The 23,862-nt window shown below is 52.0% G+C and overlaps 1 protein-coding gene across 5 annotated transcripts in view, besides 1 other annotated feature; it reads left to right on the top strand.

The window, feature by feature from the left end:
* Nucleotides 8,720–9,371: an enhancer, noted in NCBI's record as "H3K4me1 hESC enhancer chr1:205459961-205460612 (GRCh37/hg19 assembly coordinates)". NCBI's record gives its function as "activates a minimal SCP1, AML or CMV promoter by ChIP-STARR-seq in primed H9 embryonic stem cells {active_cell/tissue: H9 hESC(primed)}" and the evidence as "EXISTENCE:reporter gene assay evidence [ECO:0000049][PMID:30033119]".
* The window catches only part of CDK18 (cyclin dependent kinase 18), a 28,122-nt gene continuing 26,815 nt past the window's right edge, over nt 22,556–23,862 (top strand). For 4 of the 5 annotated variants that reach the window (NM_212503.3, NM_212502.3, XM_047422207.1 and 1 more), the window contains exon 1: nt 22,556–22,683. The gene's annotated coding sequence lies outside the window, so the exon portion shown is untranslated. Of the gene's footprint in view, nt 22,766–23,862 lie in introns of all 5 variants that reach the window. The other variant, NM_002596.4, reaches the window with a different exon arrangement.

Raw genomic sequence — 23,862 nt, forward strand, 5'->3', positions numbered from 1 at the left:
CTGCCTCTCTTTCCTTGTCCAGTGTGTCACCTTCAGATGCCCTACAGGCCCCCCAACAAGGGTGGGTCAGTGGGAGCACTGATGGGTCCCTCCCAGCTGAAGGGAATTAGGTTAGACATGAGGAAGAACTGTCCCAGTGTTGGGGTGGCAAGTAAAGAGGAAGGTGGTTTCTTTTTCCCTAAACAGTTTTAAAAATATTAGCTATTCTTCTATCTGAGGTACAGTCAGGTGAGTTTGGCCTGGGGGCAGGGAGATGGCCACTGAGCCCCTGGAAAGGAGTTGAGTGGGGCTGGGCTTGGGGGAGGGAGGGCTACAGCAAAGACATGGGTGAGGAGGAGCTCTGGAAATAGCTCCCCCAAGGGGAAACATCTCCCTTTCCTCCTTGAGGTAACTGATCAGACTGGGAGTTCTGAGTCCTGGCTGTAGGGGCTGCCAGATTCTAGAAGCCTCTCTGACCCCCAGGTTCCTTTTCTGTCACACAGTTTTTGAGTAACTATAAAACATCTCTGGGCTGGGTGCGGTGGCTCACGCTTGTAATCCTAGCACTTTGGGAGGCTAAGGCAGGAGGATCGCTTGAACCCAGGAGTTTGAGACCAGCCTGGGCAATATAGCAAGACCCCATCTCTACAAAAATTAAAAAAAATTAGTCAGGCATGGTGGTACATGTCTGTAGTCCCAGCTATTTGGGAGGCTGAGGTGGGAGGATCGCTTGAGCCCGGGACGTCGAGGCTACAGTGAGCCGCGATCAAACCACTACACTCCAGCCTGGGCAACAGAGCAAGACCCTGTTCTCCCTCACCGCTCCCCCTCAGAACCGCTCCCCCTCAGAAAAGTCTCTGATCTGACACTCTCAGCATTTGATACTATTCACCCCTTCTTCCATTTTGAAATGTTCTTCCTTAATTATTGAAAGCAATATTCTTCAGGCTCTCTTGCATCTTCCATAGGAATTAGGAATCTTCTATTTGCAGGAAACAGAAAAGCTCTCTACCTAACAGGCTAAAAAATACAGGACATCTATTCATTCACAAATGGTTCCAGCAAGGACTGATGGAGCAACGCAGGGATGTCACATAGGGCTAGTTCTTTCTTTCTGCCCCTCTGTCTTCCTCAGCCTCATGCTCCCTCCCAGGCTGCTGCTCTTGGTGCCACCTGCCTCTTCCTTCACACAGTGATAGAAAGAGCTTCTTGTCCCAGGGTGTCATTCAAAAGCCCTGTAAGTCTCTGGTTGGCAAGACTTAGGAGACATGTCCCCCTCGAATCAATCATGATACCATGTGCTCCACTCCACAGCCAGAGATCCCTTCTGTCCCCAGAGTTGCCAGGATCTTCCAAATGAAAATAGGAGCTGCTGAGGTGGAGAAGGGGACTGGCCACTGGGGAGACCTCAACACATACCCTTGCCCTGACCCCTCCCACCTCTAGTTCTCTTCCTGCTGGCCTCAGCCTCCCTCTCCACACTGGCTCCCCCTGCATCCAGAGTCCCTCCCCGGCTGCAAGACCATGCCCCTGTGGCTGATTCCCTCCTTATCCACACTGAAGCCCTGACTGTCTTCCAACATCCTGTCCTGTATCTTGATCTGTTCACGAAGCATTTCTACTTGATGTCCTCAAATTAACCCTCATATAAAAAGAACTAATGATCCTTTCCCTGACATCACACGCCCGTCCCCCGACACACACACACACACACACACACACACACACACACACACACACACATTGCTTGACTCTCCAGTTATTCCCATGTTGGGCTGGTCCTTCTCCTTTACCCCCAACATCACATCCTGCAGGACATCCTGGCAGTTCTCCGTTGCGTCTACAGTTAGTTACCTTAAGCCTGGGCCACAGAAACATACTCCCCTAGTCTACAAAAATTAAAAGAAAAATTAGTCTACTCTTCAGTCCCAGACATGCTCCCAGTCTCCTCCTCACTTGGATGTCAGCCTTCCTGAAATGCCACTGCTTCCTGTCCCCCCTCCCTCAAACACCTTCAATGACTCCCCGTCTCTCACATGACCAAATTGACCTCCCTTCGCCTGGCATTTGAAGCTCTCTGAGAACCAGCCTGCTCTAACTTGATGGGCTTCGCTCTGCCGTCTGGTACAGATGTCTGTCTGGTTCACCATATACCTAGAAAGACCCTGAGCGTTCCTGCCTCTTCACTCCCCTGTAGCTTCCCAAAGGTCCCCATGCTCCTGGCAGCCTTCCCTGACCACCACAGCCCCACAATCTCTCTGTCACTGTCTGGGTCAGTTGCCTGGCCCTCAGAGTCACTGCCCAGCCTCCCATTTTTGTGTGTGTAGAACTGTCTGCCTTTGTATTCCCAACTGCATCCAAAGCCCCTTGAGATAAGAGTCGCTGTCCTCAAATGCCCTGGGGGAGCCTGTTCTTGGTAGAAATGAGCTCCTGTGCATGGAAGCACCTTGCACCATTCTGAGTTCTGAGAGGGCAGAAAGGGTGGTTTGGTGTTTTACCAGGGAGGAGGTCAGGAGCAGGACCATTGAAAGAAACTGCAGACATTAGAGCCTCCTCAGGGAGGGTGCGGTTGTTAAGGGCAGCCTGCTTACAGGAGAGAGCCACAACCTGGCATCAGAAGACACCAGCTATGACCAGGCATGGTGGCTCACGCCTGTAACCCCACCACTTTGGGAGGCTGAGGCGGGCGGATCACCTGAGGTCCGGAGTTCCAGACCAACCTGACCAACATGGAGGAACCCAATTGCTACTAAAAATATAAAATTAGCCGTGTGTGGTGGCGCATGCCTGTAATCCCAGCTACTCGGGAGGCTGAGGCAGGAGAATCACTTGAACCCGGGAGGCGGAGGTTGCAGTGAGCCGAGATCAGGCCATTGCACTCCAGCCTGGGCAACAAAAGTGAAACTATGTCTCAAAAAAAAAAAAAAAAAAAAAGGAAGAAGAAGGAGAAGAAGAAGGAGGAAGAGGAGGAGAAGGAGAAGGAGCAGGAGAGGGAGGAGAAGAAGGAGAAGAAGAAGAAGGAGGAGGAGGAGAAGGAGAAGAAGAAGGAGGAGGAGAAGGAGAAGGAGAGGGAGAAGAAGGAGAAGAAGGAGAAGAAGGAGGAGGAGGAGGAGGAGGAGGAGGAGGAGGAGAAGACACCAGCTACGATCCCAGCCACCCTGCTCACCCGCCGTGGGATCTTGGAGAAGTCACTTAGCCTCTCTGAGCTTTGGTTTCCTCACCTCGATGAAGGGGTATCATGTTACCTGCTCTGCCTGCATCCCTGGGCTGTTGGAGGAGCACATAAGGCAATGTGCATGGAAGGGCTTTGCAAAACTCTGCAAATAGACTGGCCAAGGAGTGTGTATCCAGTGGCCTGGCCTCAGTCTGGCCTGCCAGTGGGAGAGGCGAAAGGGCAAGAAGGAAGCCTGGCCCGCCCCCAGCGGGAGGCTGTGCACCCGTCTGGCCCTCAGCAGGCCATGGGGAGAACAGAAGCTGATCAAAGGCCAGGGTTGTAAACAGCAGGGGAGGGCACCTCTCCCCAGGAAGGGGGACCTGCGGACCAGCTCCATCTGACACCCTCCTGGCCGCCAGCAGGGACTTCCTGCCCTCTAGTGGACATAGTTAGGAGGTGCACCCACTTCTGAAGCCTGCGGGCTTCAGAAGCTGGCTGCGGGCTGCCTGGCCTAACAGCAGCAAGATCTACAGATTGCAGAACGCCATCTGGCACCAACAACTGTGGCATGAACTTTGTTATCTTTTGGAATTCTCAACAACCTTTCAAGGTTTGCATTATTATTCTCATCTTACAGAGGTGGATCCTAAGGCTTAGAGGGTATGGAATCACTCAAAGCCATAATGTTGGGGCTGGGCTTCCTCTCCACACCAGAGTGTGTGTGGAGTGGGGGTCTGAGTCCCTCTAGGCCAGGTCTCATGGAGCCGGGGGTGTGGAGGATGTGGGCTCATTGTCAAGAAAGCCAGGCACGGTGGCTGATGCCTATAATCCCAGCACTTTGAGAGGCGAGGCCGAGGCAGGAGGATCGCTTATGCCCAGGAGTTCGAGACCAGCCTGGGCAACATAGTGAGGCCCCATCTCAAAATAAAAAAAAAAGAGAAAAAAGAAAGAAAGAAAAGAAAATCAGGACAGCTGGTGTTCTGACAAAGGCCTCCTGAAAACCCACCCCCTTCCCCTCTGTCTCTGTCTGCAGCTTGAACTTCCCTTCCAACATGGGGGCCAAACCTGTGGCCCATGACCCTTATCCTCTGAGGTAGGGTTGGCAAGCTTTTCTGTAAAGGGTGGGATAATAAACATTTTAAGCTTTGTGGGCCCTGTGGTTTCTGTTGCAGCTACTCAACTCTGCCGTTGTAGCAGGAAGCAGTCACAGACAATGCATAAGTGAATGAGCACGGCAGCGTTCCAATAAAACTTTATTTATAGACACTAGAATTCCAGTTTTTATAAATTGTCATGTGTCATGAAAGATTGTTTTTCTTTTTGGATTTTTTTTTCAGCCGTGTAAGAAAGTAAAAACCATTCTTAGCTTTCAGGCGGTCCAAAAACAGAGGCAGGCAGTGATTTCCCGATCCCTGCCCTAAGATGCAGGAGTCCATCTCTGAAGTATTGATACTTCAGCTCCTCTCGTGTGACTGTTTCAAGTCCCTTTCCCTTGTTCCATTTCTTCTTCCAGTGCCCTCTGTGATGCCAGAACCCAAGGTCCTGCCCTCAACTCTCTGTCCTCCCTTCCAGGGGACTTTTCATTCCATTGTCACAGTCGGCCGCAGGAAGTGCCAGCACATGCCCCTTTGCCCTCACTCCTCAGCCACAAAGACTTTTCCGACCACCGACGGTCACCCATCCTTCAGCTTGCCTCACACCTCACCTCAACATCTGTGTGTTTTAAGAGCCATTTGCTCTTAAAACAGTGGCTCACACCTGTAACCCCAACACTTTGGGAGGCCAAGGCAGGTGGATCACCTGAGGTCAGGAGTTCAAGACCAGCCTGGCCAACATGGCGAAACCCCATCTCTACTAAAAATACAAAAAAAAATTAGCCAGGCCTGGTGGTGGACGCCTGTAACGCCAGCTACTTGGGAGGCTGAGGCATGAGAATCGCTTGAACCTGGGAGGCGGAGGTTGCAGTGAGCCAGGGTTGTGCCATTGCACTCCAGCCTGGGTAACAGAGTGAGACTCTGTCTCAGAAAAAAAAAAAAGAAAGAAAAAAAGAGCTATTTGCCTTCTGCAAACCCGCAGAACAGACATGGCACGCTAGAGAAAGCAGACTTGTTTTGCCACCGCTCTAACTTGGATCTAAATCCTGACTCTCCCACCAGCCAGCATGTGATCTTTATCCTTTCCCTCTCTGGGCACTCATTGTGTCCATGTTTCATGCTAGTGTTGGAGAAGCAGTGTGGTGCTGTGATGTGAGCACTGAGTAAGTATCCAGGTGCCCCGGGGTCTGGTTCCAGCTCTGCGTTTTGTAGCCCTGTGACTTGAGGGAAGTTACAGGTACTGGAGGGCTCGAGCCATTTGCATTTGCATCAGGATAGACCTGGATCTCTAAAGAGATCAACATTTGGGGCCTGGCACAGTGGCTCATGCCTGTAAACCCAGCACGTTGGGAGGCCGAGGCAGGTGGATCCATTGAGGTCAGGAGTTTGAGACTAGCCTGGCCAACATGGTGAAACCCTGTATCTACTAAAAAATACAAAAATTAGCCGGGCGTGGTGGCACGCACCTGTAACCCCAGCTACTTGGGAGGCTGAGGCACAAGAATCACTCGAACCTGGGAGGTGGATGTTGCAGTGAGCCGAGATCGCACCACTGCACTTCAACCTGGGCAACAGAGCGAGACTCTTAAAAACAGAGAGAGATAAACATTTGGGAATCAACAGAGTATAGATCAGGGTTATCCAATCTTTTTGCTTCCCTGGGCTACATTGGAAGAAGAACTGTCTTGGGCTACATAGAAAATATACTAACAATAGCTGATGAGGTTTTAAAAATCTCATAATGTTTTAAGAAAGCCTATGAATTTGTATTAGGCCACATTCAAAGCCATCCTGGGCCACATGCAGCCCACCGGCTGCAGGCTGGACTAGCTTGCTATAGGTGGTCACGTAGCTGTGGCGAGGATGTCATCATCCAGAGAGAAGTTGAGTACCAGGGACAGAGTCCTGAAATACGCACACAGGGTCAGTCTTAACCTTTGGTGGCCAGGAGGTGGCAGTATATGCCACTAAGGGGTGTTCTGAGGGGCAGGAAAGGGGCACTCAGGAGAGAGAAGCAGATCTCCCAAACTTCAGATTTACTTCCTAGTTGGGCAGTGGTGCCTGGCACCTAGGTGGTGTGGGGAGTGAGGGATGAGGTAGATGGAGATGAATCAGACGGAAGTAGAACTATGTGTAGCTTTCAACTAAAAACTCACTGGAGGCTAGGCTCTGCGGCTCGCACCTGTAATCCCAGCAATTTGGGAGGCTGAGATGGGCAGACCGCCTGAGTCTAGGTGTTCAAGACCTGCCTGAGCGACATGGTGAGACCATGTCTCTACAAAATTTTTTTTTTAAATTAGCCAGGTGTGGTGGTGTGCACCTGTGTTCCCAGCTACTTGGGACTTGGGAGGCTGAGGCAGGAGGATCACTTGAGCCCAGGAGGGTGAGGTTGCAGTGAGCCGTGTTCATACCACTGCACTCCAGCCTGGGCAACAGAACAAGATCTCCTGTCTCCAAACAAAAGCAAAAACAAAAACCTCACTGGATGGGGATCAAGATGTTACATTGCGAGAAGCACTTAACTAGGAGCCCAAAGGGTAGGGTATCTAGGTTCAAATCCCAGTTCTACTGTTTACTAGCTGTGTAGGCTTGGGCAATCTATCTAACCTGTCTGTGTTTCCATTTCTTTGACTATAAAATAGGGGTAATGATAGTATCTATCTCCAACGGTTGTGTGAATATTAGATTAGTTGATATAAGAAAAGTTTTTAGAACAGCACTTGGCACATATAATGTGCTTATAAATACTAGCTACTAATATTATTATCTTTTAAATCATCCCTGAATGGGAAACCCTCCAAGTCCCTCTTTCCTATGAAGAGGCCCCAAGATCTAAGTCTGGGACTCAGAAAGGTACCAGTCACGTAAGATCAGCTGTTGGGAGAAGGGTCCTGGCAGACACGTACCACACCATGCCATTCCAGGAACCTCAGACTTCAGAGGCCATGCCAATGGAAGGGTAGGGTCAGAGCCACATACCTCCTTACCTTGATGTTCTTTTTACCTGACTAGGGTTTAACACCTCAGTGTCCAGGAGGAACTGGATCTAGAATAAATCTAAATGTGTGTATGTGTGTGTGTGTGTGTGTGTGTGTGTGTGTGGTGCAGGTGGACAGGGGTGAAGTCTCTCTTCTTCCCTCACCCCTCCAGTTTGTCCCTGATCCTGAAGTCAAATGGTGAAGTGGAAAGACCCCTGGGCTGGGCATTAGGTTACCCATGTTCCAGTCCTGGCTCTGTGACTTTGGGCAACTTACTTTCCCTCTCTGACCTCAATTTCTCAAAGGTCTCTTCTAGCTGAGATATTTCATAATCTTTGAGTCAGCCTATGATTCTCCTCCCCAAGTCCTGCAGCTGCACCTCAGCCTCCTCTTCCACTGTCCTCTCCCTCATCACCACCCCCCAACTCCAGTGTCCTTGCAAAAGGCTGCTAGACCTAGAAATGGCTTAAATCGTCTTTTGAGAGACAGAGAGAGAAAGAAAGAGAAGACAGACAGCCTCCCGATTTTCATTTCCCCTATAGCGATGCTTCTCAGGGGTCAGTGGATGGGTCAAAACTGCCAATTTAGCAAACGCCTGGGCCCCTGGGAATAGGAGTCTGAGAACAGGTAAGGGGCAGGCACTGTGGAGGTCAGATGTTTCCACGCAGGCTGTAGTGGAGGGAGGTGGTGGGCTGAGCTCCAGCTCCTGGAACGCCTCCCAAGGTGATCATTTCCTGACATTGCTGCTCAGAGCTCTGTGTCTGCCCCGGCCTACAGCCCTCACCCTAGTGGGCGGGGAGGGGCCACAGCACACTGCTGGGCCCCGGTGGAAGATGTGAGTCCCTGGGAGCTGGGGGCCTCCAACCTTGTGAGGCATTTAGTATCTTGCTGTTGGGCTGGTGGCATCAGGGAGACCACCCTTCATTGCCAGAAACCAGGGCTCAAGATTCTCCCTCAAAAGTCCCTCTCCTCAGAACAAGCAGGGGTATGATCTGCTTTCATCTCCCTGGAGGTGCTGGGGGCCGAAGGAGAGTTGTGGTTCTGTCTGGCTCACTCTGATTTCTTATAAGCAACAGCTAGATGCACGGAGGATAAGCAGAGAAGCATTTCCTGGGCAGACAAAATCACGAAATGATGAAATGGTGGCTTGTTTCATAGTGTGGGTCACAGGTAGTCCTTTCTGGATTCAAGGAACTAAACCCACACCAATAACCCAGATGGGCTAGATAATTTGCAGGATCTGATGCAAAATGAAAATGCAAGGCTCCTTGTTGAAAAAGTATTAAGAATTTAAACAAGAGAACAATAAAGCATTAAAACAAGCAGGAGGCCCTCTGAGTGTGGGGCCCTTCTGAGAACAGGACCTGATAGACTGCATGATGCGTGCCCATGGAAGCCAGCCCTGCAGAGAACTATCATTTCTTAAGCACCTACTATGTGCCAAGTTTTTTATTTAATTAAATTAATTAATGAATTTATTTTTTGAGACAGAATCTCACTCCGTCACCCAGGCTGGAGTTCAGTGGCACAATCACGGCTCACTGCAGACTTGACCTCCGCGGTTCAAGTGATCCTCCCACCTCAGCCTCCCATGTAGCTGGGACTACAGACACGTGTCATCATGCCTGGCTAATTTTTAAATTTTTTGTAGGGACAGAGTCTCACCATGTTGCCCAGACTGGTCCTGAATTCCTGGGCTCAAGTGATCCTCCCCATTCAGCTTCCCAAATTGCTGGGATTACAGGCGTGAGCCACCACATGTGGTCCGTGCCAGATGTTTTATATGCATTATCTCATTTAATTATGAAACAACCTTAGATGAAGGCGTGACGAGGTTCTCTTTGTGGATGGCTTGCCCAAGGTCACATCTGCTCATGAGTAGCATCGGAATCCAGAGTCTTCCGAGTTCAGAGCCTATGTCCTCTCTTGAGCGGCGCTGCCTCTGATTCAGAGTCTTTGGGGGCTGCCAGGAAGCAGGCATGCACCAGAGGATGGGCACACTGAGGTGTGGCAGAGACACCCTCCCGAGTTTGACTTGCCCCGTGCTAGGCTGCTGGCATCCCTCCCTGGGTCTGGAATCTCCCTGGGTCTGGAGCTGTTACAAAAGGCACACATGCTTGGGACTCATACCTGGATGCTCTGCCTCACACTGAGTGACTAGGAAAGTCACATAACCTCTGTGAGCCTCAGTTTGCTCATCTGTAAAACTGGCTAACAACAGTGACTTCGTGTTGTCCTGAAGATTCACTGTAGTCTGGTATATAAGGTGCCTGACACACAGTAGGTGCATAGCAAAGCCCGTTCTCCTCAGGACAGCACACCACTGCCCCCTCCCTGCCCCCACCCTCTCTCCTCAGCAAGCCCCACCCCACCTGGGCCTGCTGCTTTTGAAGCACCCCAAATTCACTGTCCCTAGGGCTTCTCCCCGAGGCCGCACTGGTAAGGGAGAGCTCCTGGCTGCCTCTCCCTGAAATCACACTTTGAGTTCCAAGATTCATTGCTAATCACACCAGGGAGAATTCCATTACAATGCCAAGGGTGGGGAAATCACCAACTTTCTGGATTCACCAGATTTCTGGAGTGGCCGTGGCCTGACTCCTTTCTGAGGCGGCAGCCCCAGCCCTGGTACTCATGGACCACCTGCTTCCATTCCTCACTGAGGGTCTCACTCCAGTCCCCAGTCTTTCCTCTTCCCCATCCCCTTTCAGGGAAACCTGCAGGCATCCTGCAGGCTGCCCCTTCCTGCAGGACAGCCTCCTTTCCCTGCAAGCCCCCCGCTGGGGAGGCTCCTTGTCCTCTCAAGCTGGTGGTCTGGGTTTCTCACCTCCCGGCTGAGGTTCCTCATCTACTTGGCTTCACCCCTCTCAGGGACAGTTCCCTGGGGACAAAGCTCCCTTCCAGTCCCCTCCCCAGCCCATGTCAGGAAGAGGAGGCAGATGGTTAGGTGGGGAATACCTAAGGTCTGAGAAAGCCTCTGGCACCAGAGAAAATAGCAAACCCTCCCCTCCCTTCCCCCAGACCCAGCCAACTGCAGTTCCAGGCTGCCTGGAGTGACACCTGCCCCTTTGCCCTCTTTCCAGGAGTAAATATTGGATCAGGTTCAGTCACCAGCTGTTTGACTAAGAGCAAAGTCAGTTGTGGGATCATGAATGGCTGGGATCCTAGGGAAGACATGCTGAGAAATATCAGTGCCCCGGGGGACCCACGGGAGAGCTCCTGGAGCAAATAGTAGGCCTGGGGAAGTACAGATTCCAGCTGACAAATCCCTTTGTTTCCCTGGCTACACCAGGTACTGCCAGATACCAACCTGCAGAGCTAGGCTGGCCCCTGGAGGAGCTGGCCCCCTGGAGTATGTCTTTCTTGCCAGGACATTTGGCATAATGGTCTGATTTGGAGGCAGCTTGATATATTCAGGTATTGTACCAGGTAAACTTGCCAGGTACCACTGCCTGGCCACTCAGATAGTGGCACCTGGTAGTAACTGACACACTCAGGTGCATTTTGGTTGGATATACCTGTTCATGTGGGTGTGGGCCCCTGAGTCTCGCTGATCATTCAGGGGTGTCTGAGCTGAACAGGCCTGATAACTGCCCTATCACTCAGCTTGCATTCCCGGGAGGCCCTGGTAACTGGAACCATTCTGGTCCCGGGGCTCAGCCGAGAGGAAAAGGAAGTGCGAGTCTAAACCCCAGGCTCTTCCTCACTGGTCCCGATGTGGTTCCCACCTTACGCCTGTCCAGACTGTTCCCAGGTCCTGACCCCTCCCTGTTCTGCCAGGCCCCACTCTTATCCCTGGGGCCACACCTGGCTGCTCTGTGGGTCCCAGCCCCTCCCAGGCTTCAGGGAAAGGGGAAGCTGGTCTGGGAGGAAATTAGGGAAATTAGCTGCAACTCCAGGAAACAACATCCCCAGGACTGGGCTAAGGACTCCGTGCTGGTCCCGCAGGCAAGGGAACTTGGTGCCTCCAGGCTGAGGTTGGGGCATGACAGCTGTCTCTCCTCAGTCTTGGGCACAGGTCCCAAGCCTGGCCAAGGGCTGCTTCTCAAACTGAGCTTCTGAGTGAGGAGTGGGAGGAACACAGCCTGCCCGGGCATTTCTCTGGGCTGTGCTAACCTCAGAGGACAACACTCTGAGTCACCACCACAAGTCTGTCCTCACCCCTGCCCCTAGGATGGAGGGAGGCAAAGAGTGAGCGGTGGAGGCAAGATCTGGGGCCAAAAAATCACAGTGTTGGCCTGGGGCCAATTGGAGCCAGAAGAACCACCAGGGGAGAAGGGCAGGGGCTGGGGGAATTTCTATGCACTTTTCTGATGCTGTCAGCAGAGTTAGTTCCCTGGGCTCTAGCTGAATGCTGGCACCAATGCAGTGGCTCAGTTTTAACATAAAATGCCATGCAAATGTCTGCCAAATAGCATCCACATCTTCTACCCATGCCCTGGTTTCAGAGGCTCTGGCCTCTGGGTCCCCTGTCTCTGTCTCCAGTAAACTCGCCTGCTTGCACGATTTTCTCTCAGGCTCTGTCCTTCCCTATCAAGATCCAGCGGCTGGAGCTGGAGCCTGGCGTCATCCTGGCCCAAGCTGCCCAGGCGGGACGACCAGAGAACTCAGAGGTGGGGATGCAGGTGGGGATGCTCCCCTCCCCAGGCGCCAGGCAGCTGCCCTCTCTCCTCTGCTTCTGCTCCCATCCTGGCTGTCCCTGGACAGCAGCAGTTGGGTGGGATTCAGAAGCCTGGAGCATTTTCTCCATCCTCCCTGGTGGTCACAGTTGGCAGGAGACAAGTGGGCAAGCAGGGCAGGCTAATCATTTGTCACTGCTTCATGGGGACATCTTTTAAATATTTGTTCAAAATAGGTTTAAAAGAGATGCCAAGGGCTTTGTGAGGTGGGCAGAGAAGAACTGCGGGGGCCAGCCTTGGTCCCTCTCCCCTCCCCAATCTGGTCTGTGTTCCTCACCCAGCAAGCAAGAGCCCTGCTGTGCAGCCAGTCCCACCAGCTTGTCATTAGAGAAGTCACCACTGTGAGGGGCTCACTTACAGCTTACACACTTGTCAAACAATTTCTTTTTTCCTTTCCTTTTCTTTTTTTAGAGACGGGGTCTTATTCTGTCACCCGGACTGGAGTGCAGTGGTGCGATCACAGCTTTCTGTACCCTTGACCTCCTGGGCTCAGGTAATCTTCCCACCTCAGCCACCCCAGCAGCTGGGACCACAGGAACATGCCACCATGCCTGGCTAATTTTTTTTTTCTTTTGAGTCAGGGTCTCGCTCTGTCACCCAGGCTGGAGTGCAGCGGTGTGATCTCAGCACACTGCAACCTCAGCATCCCGGGTTCAAGCAATTCTCCTGCCTCAGCCTCCCAAGTAGCTGGGATTATTGGCTTGTGCCACCATGCCTGGCTAAGTTTTGTATTTTTAGTATAGATGGGGTTCTGCCACATTGGCCAGGCTGGTCTCGAACTCCTGGCCTCAAGCGATCCGCCCGCCTCAGCCTCCCAAAAGCTGGGATTACAGGTGTGAGCCACTACACCGGCCTATTTTTTTTTTAACTTTTGGTAGAAACAGGGGTGGGGGGGCTGGCAGGGAGGCAGTGGGGGAGGGACACTATGTCTCACTATGTTGCCCAGGCTGATCACAAACTCCTGGACTCAAGCAATCCTCCTGCCTCAGTCTCCCAAAGTGCTGGGATTAGAGGCACGAGCCACGGCACCCGGCCCCAAACAATTTCTCCAACCACACATCTTGATACTTTCCAAGGGCATTCTGTGCACCTGCCAGCTGGCCACTCCTTAACCCAGTTCTGGCTACAAGGCCCTTTGGGGTCCACCTTGTCTAGCAACCTGACAGTGCCCCAGCATGCATCTCATCAGCCCTTGTCTGGCTCCAAACCAATGGAGTCTATGTGGGTGTGCTCAGATGTGGGCAGTGGAGTGAGTAGATGTTCTCAGACAATCCCCCTCTTTCTAGGACCTCATTTCCTAAAGTTGAACCTCAGAATCTCCTGCAGAAGCCAACGTGGCCCATTTTCTCTCTTGGTCTCAGGCGTTCAGGTAGGAAGAAGGTGGGACTCCCTCCTCTCATTCCGTGCCCTTTCACTTCCTGTCCCAAATCCCCTCCCAAGGTCATGGGAGAGCCCTGGGCTGACTGCTCACAGCTCACTCCTAGAAGCAAGGCCTCACCTTGGCTCTGTCCCTCCCCCACTGCCTCTCTGTCCCCCACAGGAGGGGCGGCGGGTGCCTCCACGAGGTTGGGATTTTGTGTTTAATTATGGAGCAGGAACTTGGCAATGAGGCAGCTCCCAGCAGGGTGTGCAGTGTCTCTCGGCACCCTGGCTAATGAGATAGTGTGGAGCCAGCTGACAGAGGCAGGCTGTGTAATTTACGAGTGCCTAATTGCTGTGGAGGCTATTGCTTTTAATGTGATCCAGAGCAAAGGCCTTCTTTTCTTTTCTTTTTCTTTTAAAATCCATTCCCCTGGGGGAAGCGGAGTTCTGGTTTCTCTCCTAACATGTGTTTTAACCTGGACATGCTATTCAGTGGCACTGGGGACAGTCCATTCAAATGGTCTTTCCTCCTGAGTGGCTGTTTAGAACAGGGTCCTGAGCTACTTGGGGGTTGGGAGATGCAGAGGGGAAGTTCAAGGTGCCTCAAGTGCACCTCAGACTAACTCCCCTTAGCACTGTCCCAGTGGGACGCCACGTTCAGCACGCAGGTTGCTCACTCACTGGACCAGTGGCTCTTGGAACCTTTTGAGAATTTCACAAAAGTTCCTTTCTCTCAAAAAGAACAATAGCTAGTGTTAATTGTCCTCTTAGTATGTTCCAAGATCTATGTTAAATTTATATACCTATCCCATCTAACCCTCATCATGGCCCTATGAGAAGGGTGCTATATTACCCCCATTTTACAGATGAGGAAATAGAGGTACAGAGTGCCAAATAATTTGCTCATATCACATATATAGGACTTGAATATGGCAGATTGATTCCACTTGAACATGTTAATTTGTAGAGATTCTCTCTCTCTCTCTCTCTCTCTTTCTCTCTCTCTCTCTCTCTCTCTCTCTCTCTCTCTCTCTCTCGACAGGGTCTTGCTTTGTCCCCCAGGCTGGAGTGCAGAGGCACGATCTCAGCTCACTGCAACCTCCGCCTCCCAGCTTCAAGTGATTCTCCCAACTCAGCCTCCTGAGTACCTGGGACTACAGGCATGCACCACTATGCTGGGCTAATTTTTGCATTTTTTTGTAGAGATAGGGTGTCACCATGTTGGCCAGGCTGGTCTCGAACTCCTGATCTCAAGCGATCCACCTGCCTCTGCCTCCCAAAGTGCTGGTATTACAGGCATAAGCCACTGCACCCAGCTGAGATTCTCTCTTTAGAAACATACAGTCTCTGCTTCTCTATCTCACATAACACACACATACACACTCACAATGTTAGCATATAATGTTATGGGTTTTCAGACTCACTAAAGCCCTGCAAGGACCCTCTTCTGCTGCTCAGGGATATAAAACTCCCCTATTTAGGAGGCTGGAATCCAGACTGTGAGGTGCCTGAGGGCAGGAAGTATGGCAGTCACCACAACTACTGAATTCAAACACCACTTAATTAGTGTTTACTGAAGGAAGGAAAGGGGAAAGAGAGGGAAAGAAGGGAGGCAGTGAGGATGGGCATGATCCCTGCCTTCAAGAAGTTCAGAGGTCTGGCGGCAAGGTGCTCATGCCTGTAATCCTAGCACTTTGGGAGGCCAAGGCAGGTGGATCACCTGAGGTCAGAAGTTCAAGACCAGCTTGGGCAACATGGTGAAACCCCATCTCTACTAAAAATACAAAAATTAGCTGGGTGTGGTGGTGGGTGCCTATAATCCCAGCTACTTGGGAGGCCAAGACACAAGAATTGCTTGAACCCAGGAGACAGAGGTTGCAGCGAGCTGAGATCACGCCACTGCACTCCAGCCTGAGCAACAGAGCAAGACAAAAGTTCAGAATCGAATTAGTCAGACAATCTATTAATATGCAAAGACAAATGAGACTTGTAAATAAGTTCAAAAGAAGAGAAGAGCCATCCCCAGTCCAAGCAGGATCCATTGTGCCAACTGGATAAAACCCCTGAATACTTACTGCAGGAAGTCAGACAACGGAGAACCGCTGGTCCAGTGGGGATTGGGGTGGTGCGGGACTAGTTGGGCAACCCAGGTGGTGGGCTTGGAGCCTTTCAAGAAGAATTCATTAAGGGTGTACACAGTGTTCCTGACGGCAGCTGTGTTTGCTTTCTCTCCAGGGAGGGGGTTGGCAGTGGGCAGGAGGGAAGGGCCAGGAGACCGGCACGGTCCTTAGCTCCTGCCTCCTTTCAGCTCAGCCAAACAGCTCAGCAGCCACCAATTCTCCCAGTCTCCCTCTCCCGCCTTCCATTCATCCCTCAGCCCACCATTCAGGCCTCTGCCCTACTCCCATCTCCAGAATTGCCCTTGTTAAAGTCACCAATCTAGGGCTACCAACCATCTCTGTCTGCCCAGGACTTTCAATGCTAGAACTGGGAGAATCCCAGGCAAACTGGGCCTATGGCCACCCTACCAATGGCTTCCTAGTTGCCAAATTCAATGATGTCTTTCAGTCTTGCTCTGTGGGCACCTCCTGACTCCCCTTTCCTTTCCAACACCTCTCTTCCCCTTGCTCCTGTCCTAACTTCTGGTCTGCTTGTTCTCTTCTTCCTTCATCAGCTTTGCTTCCTCTGCCAATTCAGTTCTGCTGTGTCGGTTCTGTAGACCAGTGGCGCCTAACCTTTTTGGCGCCAGGGACCAGTTTCATGGAAAACGGTTTTTTTCACCGACCAGGCAGGGAGATGGTTTCAGGATGATTAAAGCGCATTACATTTAGTGTGCACTCTATTTCTATTATTATTACCTTGTAATATACAATGAAATAATTATACAACTCACCATCATGTAGAATCAATGGGAGCCCTGAGCTTGTTTTCCCGTAACTAGATGGTCCCATCTGGGGGTGATGGGAGACAGTGACAGATCATCAGGCATTAGATTCTCATAAGGAGCATGCAACGTAGATCCCTCACATGTGCAGTTCACAACAGGCTTCGTGCTCCTATGAGAATCTAATGCTGCCACTGATATGATAGAAGGCAGAGCTCAGGTGGGAATGTGAGTGACTGGGAGCGGCTGTAAATACAGATGAAGCTTTGCTTGCTTGCCTGCTGCTCACCTCCTGCTGTGTGGCCCAGTTCCTAACAGGCAGCCAGGAGTTGGGGACCCCTGTCCTAGACCCCGGTGAGCACCTGATATATACTAGTCCTGGGCATACAAAGGCTAAAGATGTAGTCTCTGGCCACGGGAAGCTCTCAGCCCAGTAAAGGAGGAAGACATGGAGCCCCCAAGCACTGGGAGGCACACAGTGAGAGAAGTATGTCGAACAGACAGGCTTCCGACTGGGGAGTGGTCAAGCCTGTGTAGACAACACTGAACCTGTGTGTGTCAAGGAGGCAGTGACTCTTGAGCTGGATTTTGAAGAATGAATAGGAGTTTACTAGGTAAGTGGTGAAGGAGGGAACCTCTCCTATAGATGGGAACATGTGCCAAGGCATGAAGCAGTGAAACATAGTGGTGTGTACAAGAGAAGTACTCATAGTTTGATGTGGCTGGACACAACAAGAGAGGGAGAAAATCAGGATGAGCTGACGAGGGAGGCAGGGGATCCATATGCCATAAGGGAGTCTGTGAATGAGCACAAGGAGGCCCATAGCTCATGAAAATGAACAGAAAATGTTGTGCATATGTGTTTTGATTCCTCAGATTTCATCAGATTCTGAAAGAGGGGTTGGGGACTCAAAGGCCTCCTGTTGGGGAGCTACTGGAAGCAACTGGGCAGAGGAGGAGCCACTGGCAGATTGGCCAGTGGCTAAGGTTAAGGCCTCTCTGGCATCTGTCTGAAGGAGGGGTGTGGGGCCTGGAAGCTAAAGGCCAGTGGGCCAGTGGGGCCTGCGGGTTCAAACCATGGCCTTCTTCCTTGGCCCTGAGCAAGGTCTTTCCCGGTCAGCCACCTCCAGAGCACTTGTCTCCAGGCCCATCCAACAGGCCTCTGGAGCATTTCTAAAAGTCTTCACCAAGATGTTCAACTGGCTCCTCAAGGGCTACCTGGCTACAGCTGAAATCAGCACCTGTGCTTGGCCCATGGCAGATATTGAGTAACTACTTTCAAACTGAACTAAGATCCAACTGTCCAATGAACTCATGAGCTGGGTTTTAGGGTTTGGTTTTAGGTCTTCCTGGGGATCAATCAACTCTCTTGGTCCAAAAGTCTCAAAATTCTTAAGGTTTCCTGAAAAGAAAATCTACGGTTCCTATCCCTATCTATTAGTTGAGAAATAATTTCATTACATTTCACTATAATCCAAGTAGGAGTCTTTGACCCCATTCTCTAGGTGAGCAAACAGAGACCCAGGGGTAAAGAATGGGCTTAGAAAGCCCAGGTAAACCAGCTGTCTCTCCTCTCCCACCCTGCATACGGGTCCTCTCAGTGGCCCACCCCAGCCAGTGTGGCCTGCAGCCTCACCCCAAAGACTCTTCTAGTCTTGTTCCTAAGGACCACTTTCCCATTTACACCAGCTTTGTGTGGTGATTCTGTTGTCATGGCAATGCATCAACCTGAAGGGGGTGGGGTGTGTGTGTGTGTGTGTGTGTGTGTAAGTTTGGAAGGCACCGCTGGATGTAGTGGTGGGGTTCTAATTGGTTTGATAGTTGCTAGGGTCAACTGGTCTGTGATTGGCTGACTCTATTTATGGGTCCACCCTGTCCTAGAACCCTCTGGGGATGCAGCTGTTGCCTCATCTGAAGTCTAGAATGGTGTGTGTGTGTGCGTGCATGTGCATGCACATGTGTAAACACATGCATAAATGCACACATGCCTGTACTTTCACCACAAATAGCGAAGGGAGGATATGACACTTGGTGAAGTGATAAAGCAGAAAGTCCCAGGCTCTCTGCTGGAATCACACTGCTACAGGTAAATGATATTTTTCTCCTAATCATCCCCACTTCTCATAAATCACTGGAAAACAATGGCCTAGGTTTAGCCAGAGGAGGAGTAAGAATTGGCTCAGTCTAGCCAAGTCCTGCTGTCCCAATGACTCACAGACCTCTAACTAGCTAGGCCATAATGGGTCAGTCCATCTTCAGGTCTCTGCTGCCAATCTCCCTCCTGCCTGCCAAGGGCAGGCTGTTGAGGTGAGTTTCTCTGTTCTCACTTAGCTTCTCATTTCTCATGTCTTTACTTGATTCCTGGAACCCTAAAAAGGGCCCTCTGGACAAACACTAATGATCTCATACACATGCAGGTCGTTCTACAGTGTGCAAAGCACTTTCACAGTCACCTTTGCATTTAGTTCTCCCATCCTGAAAGATAGGTATTCACACTATTCCCCTTTTGCTATAGAGGAAAACAGAGGCCCAGAGAAACAAAGTGATTTCTGCACCTTAGGGGCGGAGTCAAGTCTCCGGCCTCCCAAATGTCCCTGCAGTGCTTTCAGAGACTGTGCCTGCTCGGATATAGGGCCAGAGGGGAAGGGAGCCCCTGACAATGTGCAGAAAAGAGATTCTCTGTTGGCTGAACTCTCCCTGTCTGGATGCTGTGCCTCCCAGGGGAAAGTGGGGCGGGCTTGAACTTTGGTTTTTCAGATGCTATTCAAATGCACTGCCCACACAGTCTGCGAGGGAGAGCTGTTTCCAGCTTCCCTGCTCAGCCCTCAGGCACCCAGGGACGCCTGTCCTATCTGCAGAGCAGTGGCATGTCACTGGCAGCGAGGAGGAGACAGGAGCAGAGTGGGCAGTGGGCTGAGCTGCTGCTGGGGCCACCATTGTCATGCTGCTCAGGCCTGCCAGCATTACACTGCTACATGGCTAGGGTGACCAGGGCCTCCCGGGGATGCCACAGATCCATTAGACTAGCAGAGGGGAAGGGGGCTGCAGGACCCACAGGGGATGGGCCCCAGGGGCTGGGGTGCCAGGGAAACCCCCAGCTGAGGGTCTGTTGTCTGTCCCTCTGCAAGGAGGGAGTTAATGGGCTGCAGAAAAGAGAAACAGCATTGATTGGGTGCCAAGTTTACATCCTATTGAAACCTCACAACAGCCCCATGAGAGAGGGACTATTACCATCTCCATGTTATGGACAGGAAAGGAAGTCAGATATGTCAGTAACTGCCCAAGGTCACACAGTTTACATGGCTTTAAAGCTCAAAGTATTGCTTGGTAAGGCAGCAGGGAAGGAGCCCCTCCTTAGTGGAAGTCCTAGGTAGTGCTGCTTCTACTGTGTTTGGCTTATTGCAAGATGCACAGAAAGAAAGTTGGCATCGGAGGGCAGGGGACACCAAGGGGTTCAGAGGGAATTTTTGAAATGGTACAGATGAGAAGCAGAAAAATTAGGCTGACCCAAAGAGCACACATACACAGGCCACTGATGTGTATGACTGGGTATCATGGACTCCCTATCCAGCTAGTAAGCCCTGCCCAGGGTCACTCTTATCTGGTTCCCCCCTCCCACCTCCCATCTGCACTTGCCCTTTCCTGGGGTGGCCAAAGCTTGTTGTGCCATTCTCTGGGCTCCATATAGATGCCCACCTGCAGTTCATCCTCTTCCTTCAACCCTGAGAACCAAGACGATGCTTCAAAACTGAAGCTTTCAGAGATTCTGAAGCAATCCCATGTGGTGGTGGTGGGGCAGGGGGTGATGTGACAGGCTCTGAGCAGGTGGCTGGCCCTACATCATTTCAGCTGTCATCTCTCCTCTGTGGAGCTGTCCCAAATTCTCTTGGGCAGAGTTAAGGGCTTCTTCCTCTGCTCAGCCCATATTGCCTTGGTAGGTGACTGCCTCTGCATATCTTTCTCCACCTGAACAGTGAACTACATGAGAATAGGAACTGAGACTTAAAATCATCTATCCAATGCAAGGATCCAGTATAGTCCTTGTCACATAGCAGGTGTTCAATAAATGTTTGTTGAATGCATGAATGATGGTAATTATATTTACTATCTATTGAGTTCTCCATTATGAGCCAAGTCCTATGCCAGGCCCTTAGCATACATTACCCTAATATGTACAACAACCATACAAGATTGATTTTAGCAACTTTGTTCTACAGATGGCCTCAGAAAGCTTAGTTCGCTTGCCCAAGTTCACAGAGCAATCTAAGGAGGTGCTGGGAATCAAGGCTCACTTAAGAAGCTCCAAGGTCCCACTCAGCCTATCACATCAGTGCTTCTAATCTTGACACTGTTGGCTCCCTTATCTTCTAGAATCCAATAGTCACAAGGCTCCATGACCCTGTCTCCTACCTATCTCTCAAATCAGTTCCCTCCTCTCCTCCCTGCTGCCGCTGTGTGGTCTAAGCTCATTCTCATTTTCCACTAGGATCAGCCTCCACGTTGGGGGTCTTCAGGACCCAGCACCTGCCTGCCTCTACAGTGTCACCTCCACCCCAGACTTTAAGTTCTGACCTCATGGAACTGTGGGTCCATATTCTGTCACCCCTGCACTCTGCACAAGGGATTACCCCTCCTGGAAAAAACAGGGAAAATCCTTCCTCCTCTCTCTTGTCCCCTCATCCTGTAACCCTCACCTCAAGCAGAATAGCTCCTCCCAGGCATCCGTAACACTAAGCCTCCTCCTATAGCATCCTAACTGTTTGCTTCCCTGCCGCATTACACCAAGAGCTTCTTGAAGGCAGGGACTGGGTTATACTCATCTTATGTGCCCAGAGCCCTGGCTATCATTTGGCACATAAGAGATGTTGAGAAAGTGTTTGTGGAGACCTCTTGACTTCACCCCCCTAGTTCCTTGAAATTCTACCCTTTGGCCCCACTCTCTCTAATCCGCCAGTAAACAGTTCCTTGGCCATAGTCCTTCTCCCTTTCCCTCCCTGCCCCTTCCAAACCTCTTTATGGCCTCCTGCTCCCCAGGCTTCTCACCATCCACTGGACTACAGAGCCAGGAGGTTGCTGCACACCTAAAGGCTCTGGATCCATGCACCCCGACAACACTTGGCAGTTTCATTTTTAGGAAGTGCTGTGCCCAGGAAATCTGCATGCCTTGGCAGAGAAAGCGAGGTAAAAAAAAAAAAAAGAGTTGGGAGGCCCTCTGTGAGATGTCAACTACCCACAGGTCACTTTCATGCATGGGCCCAGTGTCTTCCTTCATTCTCCTGTCTCCAGCTGACAGTGGGACCTCAGGCCCATGTCTTCCAGAAGGAAACTGTTCTATTCTCAACAACTCACAGTCCCCAGGGAAAGGGTTCAGGTAGAAGCACATGTACACTGTGGAGCACCCCCTCCTAAGGAGACTTTCCCTGTGGGAGACCCCAGACTGCAGCAGCCAAGCCCTCTGGTAGGGCAGGGGACACAGACTGCCTTGATGAGGTGCCATAGAGCCAAGGCACACCTCCTCTCCTCACAGCCCTCAGGAGGAAGCAGAGATGAGAGGGGCCTGGCGGTGGGGCACTGTGCCCTTCACCCCCATCCCCAGATTTTTGTTTTGTTTTTTTTTTTGATCCTTGAAGTCAGATGATGTGGGTGCAATGGCCATTGGCCTGAGTTCTAATCATGGCTCGCCATGAACTCTTGTGGCACTTTAGGCCAGTTCAATTGCTTTGCTGGGCCTCAGTTTCCCCTTCTGTAAAATGAGAGTGCCACTAGCTGAACTAGCCATTCTGTAACCCTTCTTGGATGATTCTCAAATATCCTGTGGAGTTTAATTCCAAAAGGACAAGTTGAATTATCCTTCGGGGAGGGAAATGTGAATGATGGCTGGTAACAAGGGCTTCATTCAGGTCCTGGAGAGGTGGGAACTTTGTCCGGAAAGGTAAGTGACAAGTCCCACTGGATAGGGTAGAAGGGGAGCCCGAGGGCTACTATTGTCAAGAAAATGACCACCAAAATCTGTCCATGCACATTCGTTCCTAGGGCGCCAGGTACAGGGAGGTACCTAGGAGAGGTAGGAGCACCGCTTTTAGAGACAGGCAGGCACTCTCAGTGTACCCCTGGCGCCTTGGTGTCCTGGGGTGATCCAGTCCAGAAGGCCTCATCCCCTAGCCAAGGCTCTCAGGGCCGGTTTTAGAAACGAAACAGGAAGAGGCACTTGGACCCTGGTTCCCAGAGTGGGAGAAAGGGGTGGGCACCCGGGCAGAGGGAGCCCTGGGGATTGGTAGCGGCTGTGGGCAGGGCGGGAGGGCCGGGGGCGGAGTCAACTTGTACATGTGAAAAACTCTGGCGGGGGCCGGGCATTTTCCTTCCTCCTCCTCCTCCTCCTCCTCCTCCCTCCTCTTCCCCACCTTCCTCCACTCCCTCCCTTCCCCTCCCCTTCTACCTCCTCCTCGGCCAGCTCAGGTTGCAGCTTCTCTGGGGAACTGCTCACCTTTCCGGAGCAGGGGAAGCTGCCCCGTGCCCGGGAGGGAGCGGGCGCACCGCGGCCCCCAGGACACGCGCTGTGAGTCCCGCGGGCGGTGCGCCTGGGAGGAAGGGGGAGGTCGGAGGAGCGGGCACCGCGGCGCCGGGTATAAGGAGCAAAGGTAAGCGGAACGGCTCTTAAAGGCGCAGTTTTGCTTTTGCCCTGAGGCGAGAGGTTGGAGGGAAATACCGGAGCGGCGAGGGGAGAGCAGAGATCACGAGGCGTGATCTGTGTGATACTGTGTTGTGTGTTGAGGGGTGGGGGGTGCCCTCGAAAGGCCACTCGTAAGTTCCAGGTGCTTGAGAGGGAGGGTTATTTTGCAATCTCAGACCCCGCGCCCCCTTAGGGAGTCTCCATCTGGGATCACTTTGGCCCCTGGGCTCCCGTCTGAACCCTACAAAGCAAAGTTTTCCACCCAGTCCGGAACCAGGCGCTTTCTAAGCTCCCTTCATTCTGGGAAGGGCAAGGGTCAGGAGTCTCCAGGGACCAAAGGACCCGAGAGTGTGGGGCCACATCGCTGCCTTGAAGGGCTTCCTGGGCTCTGGTGAACTTTCCAGAGCGGCAGGCAGGGGGTGGGAGGCCGGAGCCCTGGGAAGAACGTGGAAGGACACGTGAAGCCCTGCAGGTCCCAGTTCTGGGGGAGGCAGGGGTCTGGGGAATGCTGCTGCTTCTCTCTTTCCACCCCGGAAGACCAAAGGGGCAGTGCCCCCCTCCACCCCTCATCAACAGGCGACAGAGGGTTAATGCAGCAGAGGGAAAGGAGGCTGGGTGGGGCCGGGGGGAGTGGGCGGTGACCTGTTGGGCTAAGGAGATGTGCCTTGAGGATTCTGCTGTAGTTGAGGGACACCATCAGGAATCTGAAATCCAAAATCGGGTCTGGACTGGAGGCCTCTGTTTTCGCCCTGTGGGGGGCGGGGATTCCCTGAAGGTGTCTGCAGACCTTGTGCTGGGTGGGAGTTGGGCTGCAGAAACAGTGAGGGGTTTTCTGTGCTGCAGGGTCAGCACCCTCCTAGGCACCAGCCCTGCCTCTCTTCATTCTCTCTGGGCACCTCCCGGCAGTCGGGGTGGGAGGATTGACACTGTGGGAGTGAGAGGCCCTGGAACCTCTTCCGCGCTATCTGCTACTGTCTCCCCTTCTTCCCCACCCCTAGCCCAGCCCTCGGCAGTTCCCCAGCTGTAGCCTGGGCCCTGTGACTCACTAACACCACCGGCTTGCCC

The sequence above is a fragment of the Homo sapiens genome, chromosome 1, assembly GCF_000001405.40.
Source record: "Homo sapiens chromosome 1, GRCh38.p14 Primary Assembly".
Classification (NCBI taxonomy): Eukaryota; Metazoa; Chordata; class Mammalia; order Primates; family Hominidae; genus Homo; species Homo sapiens.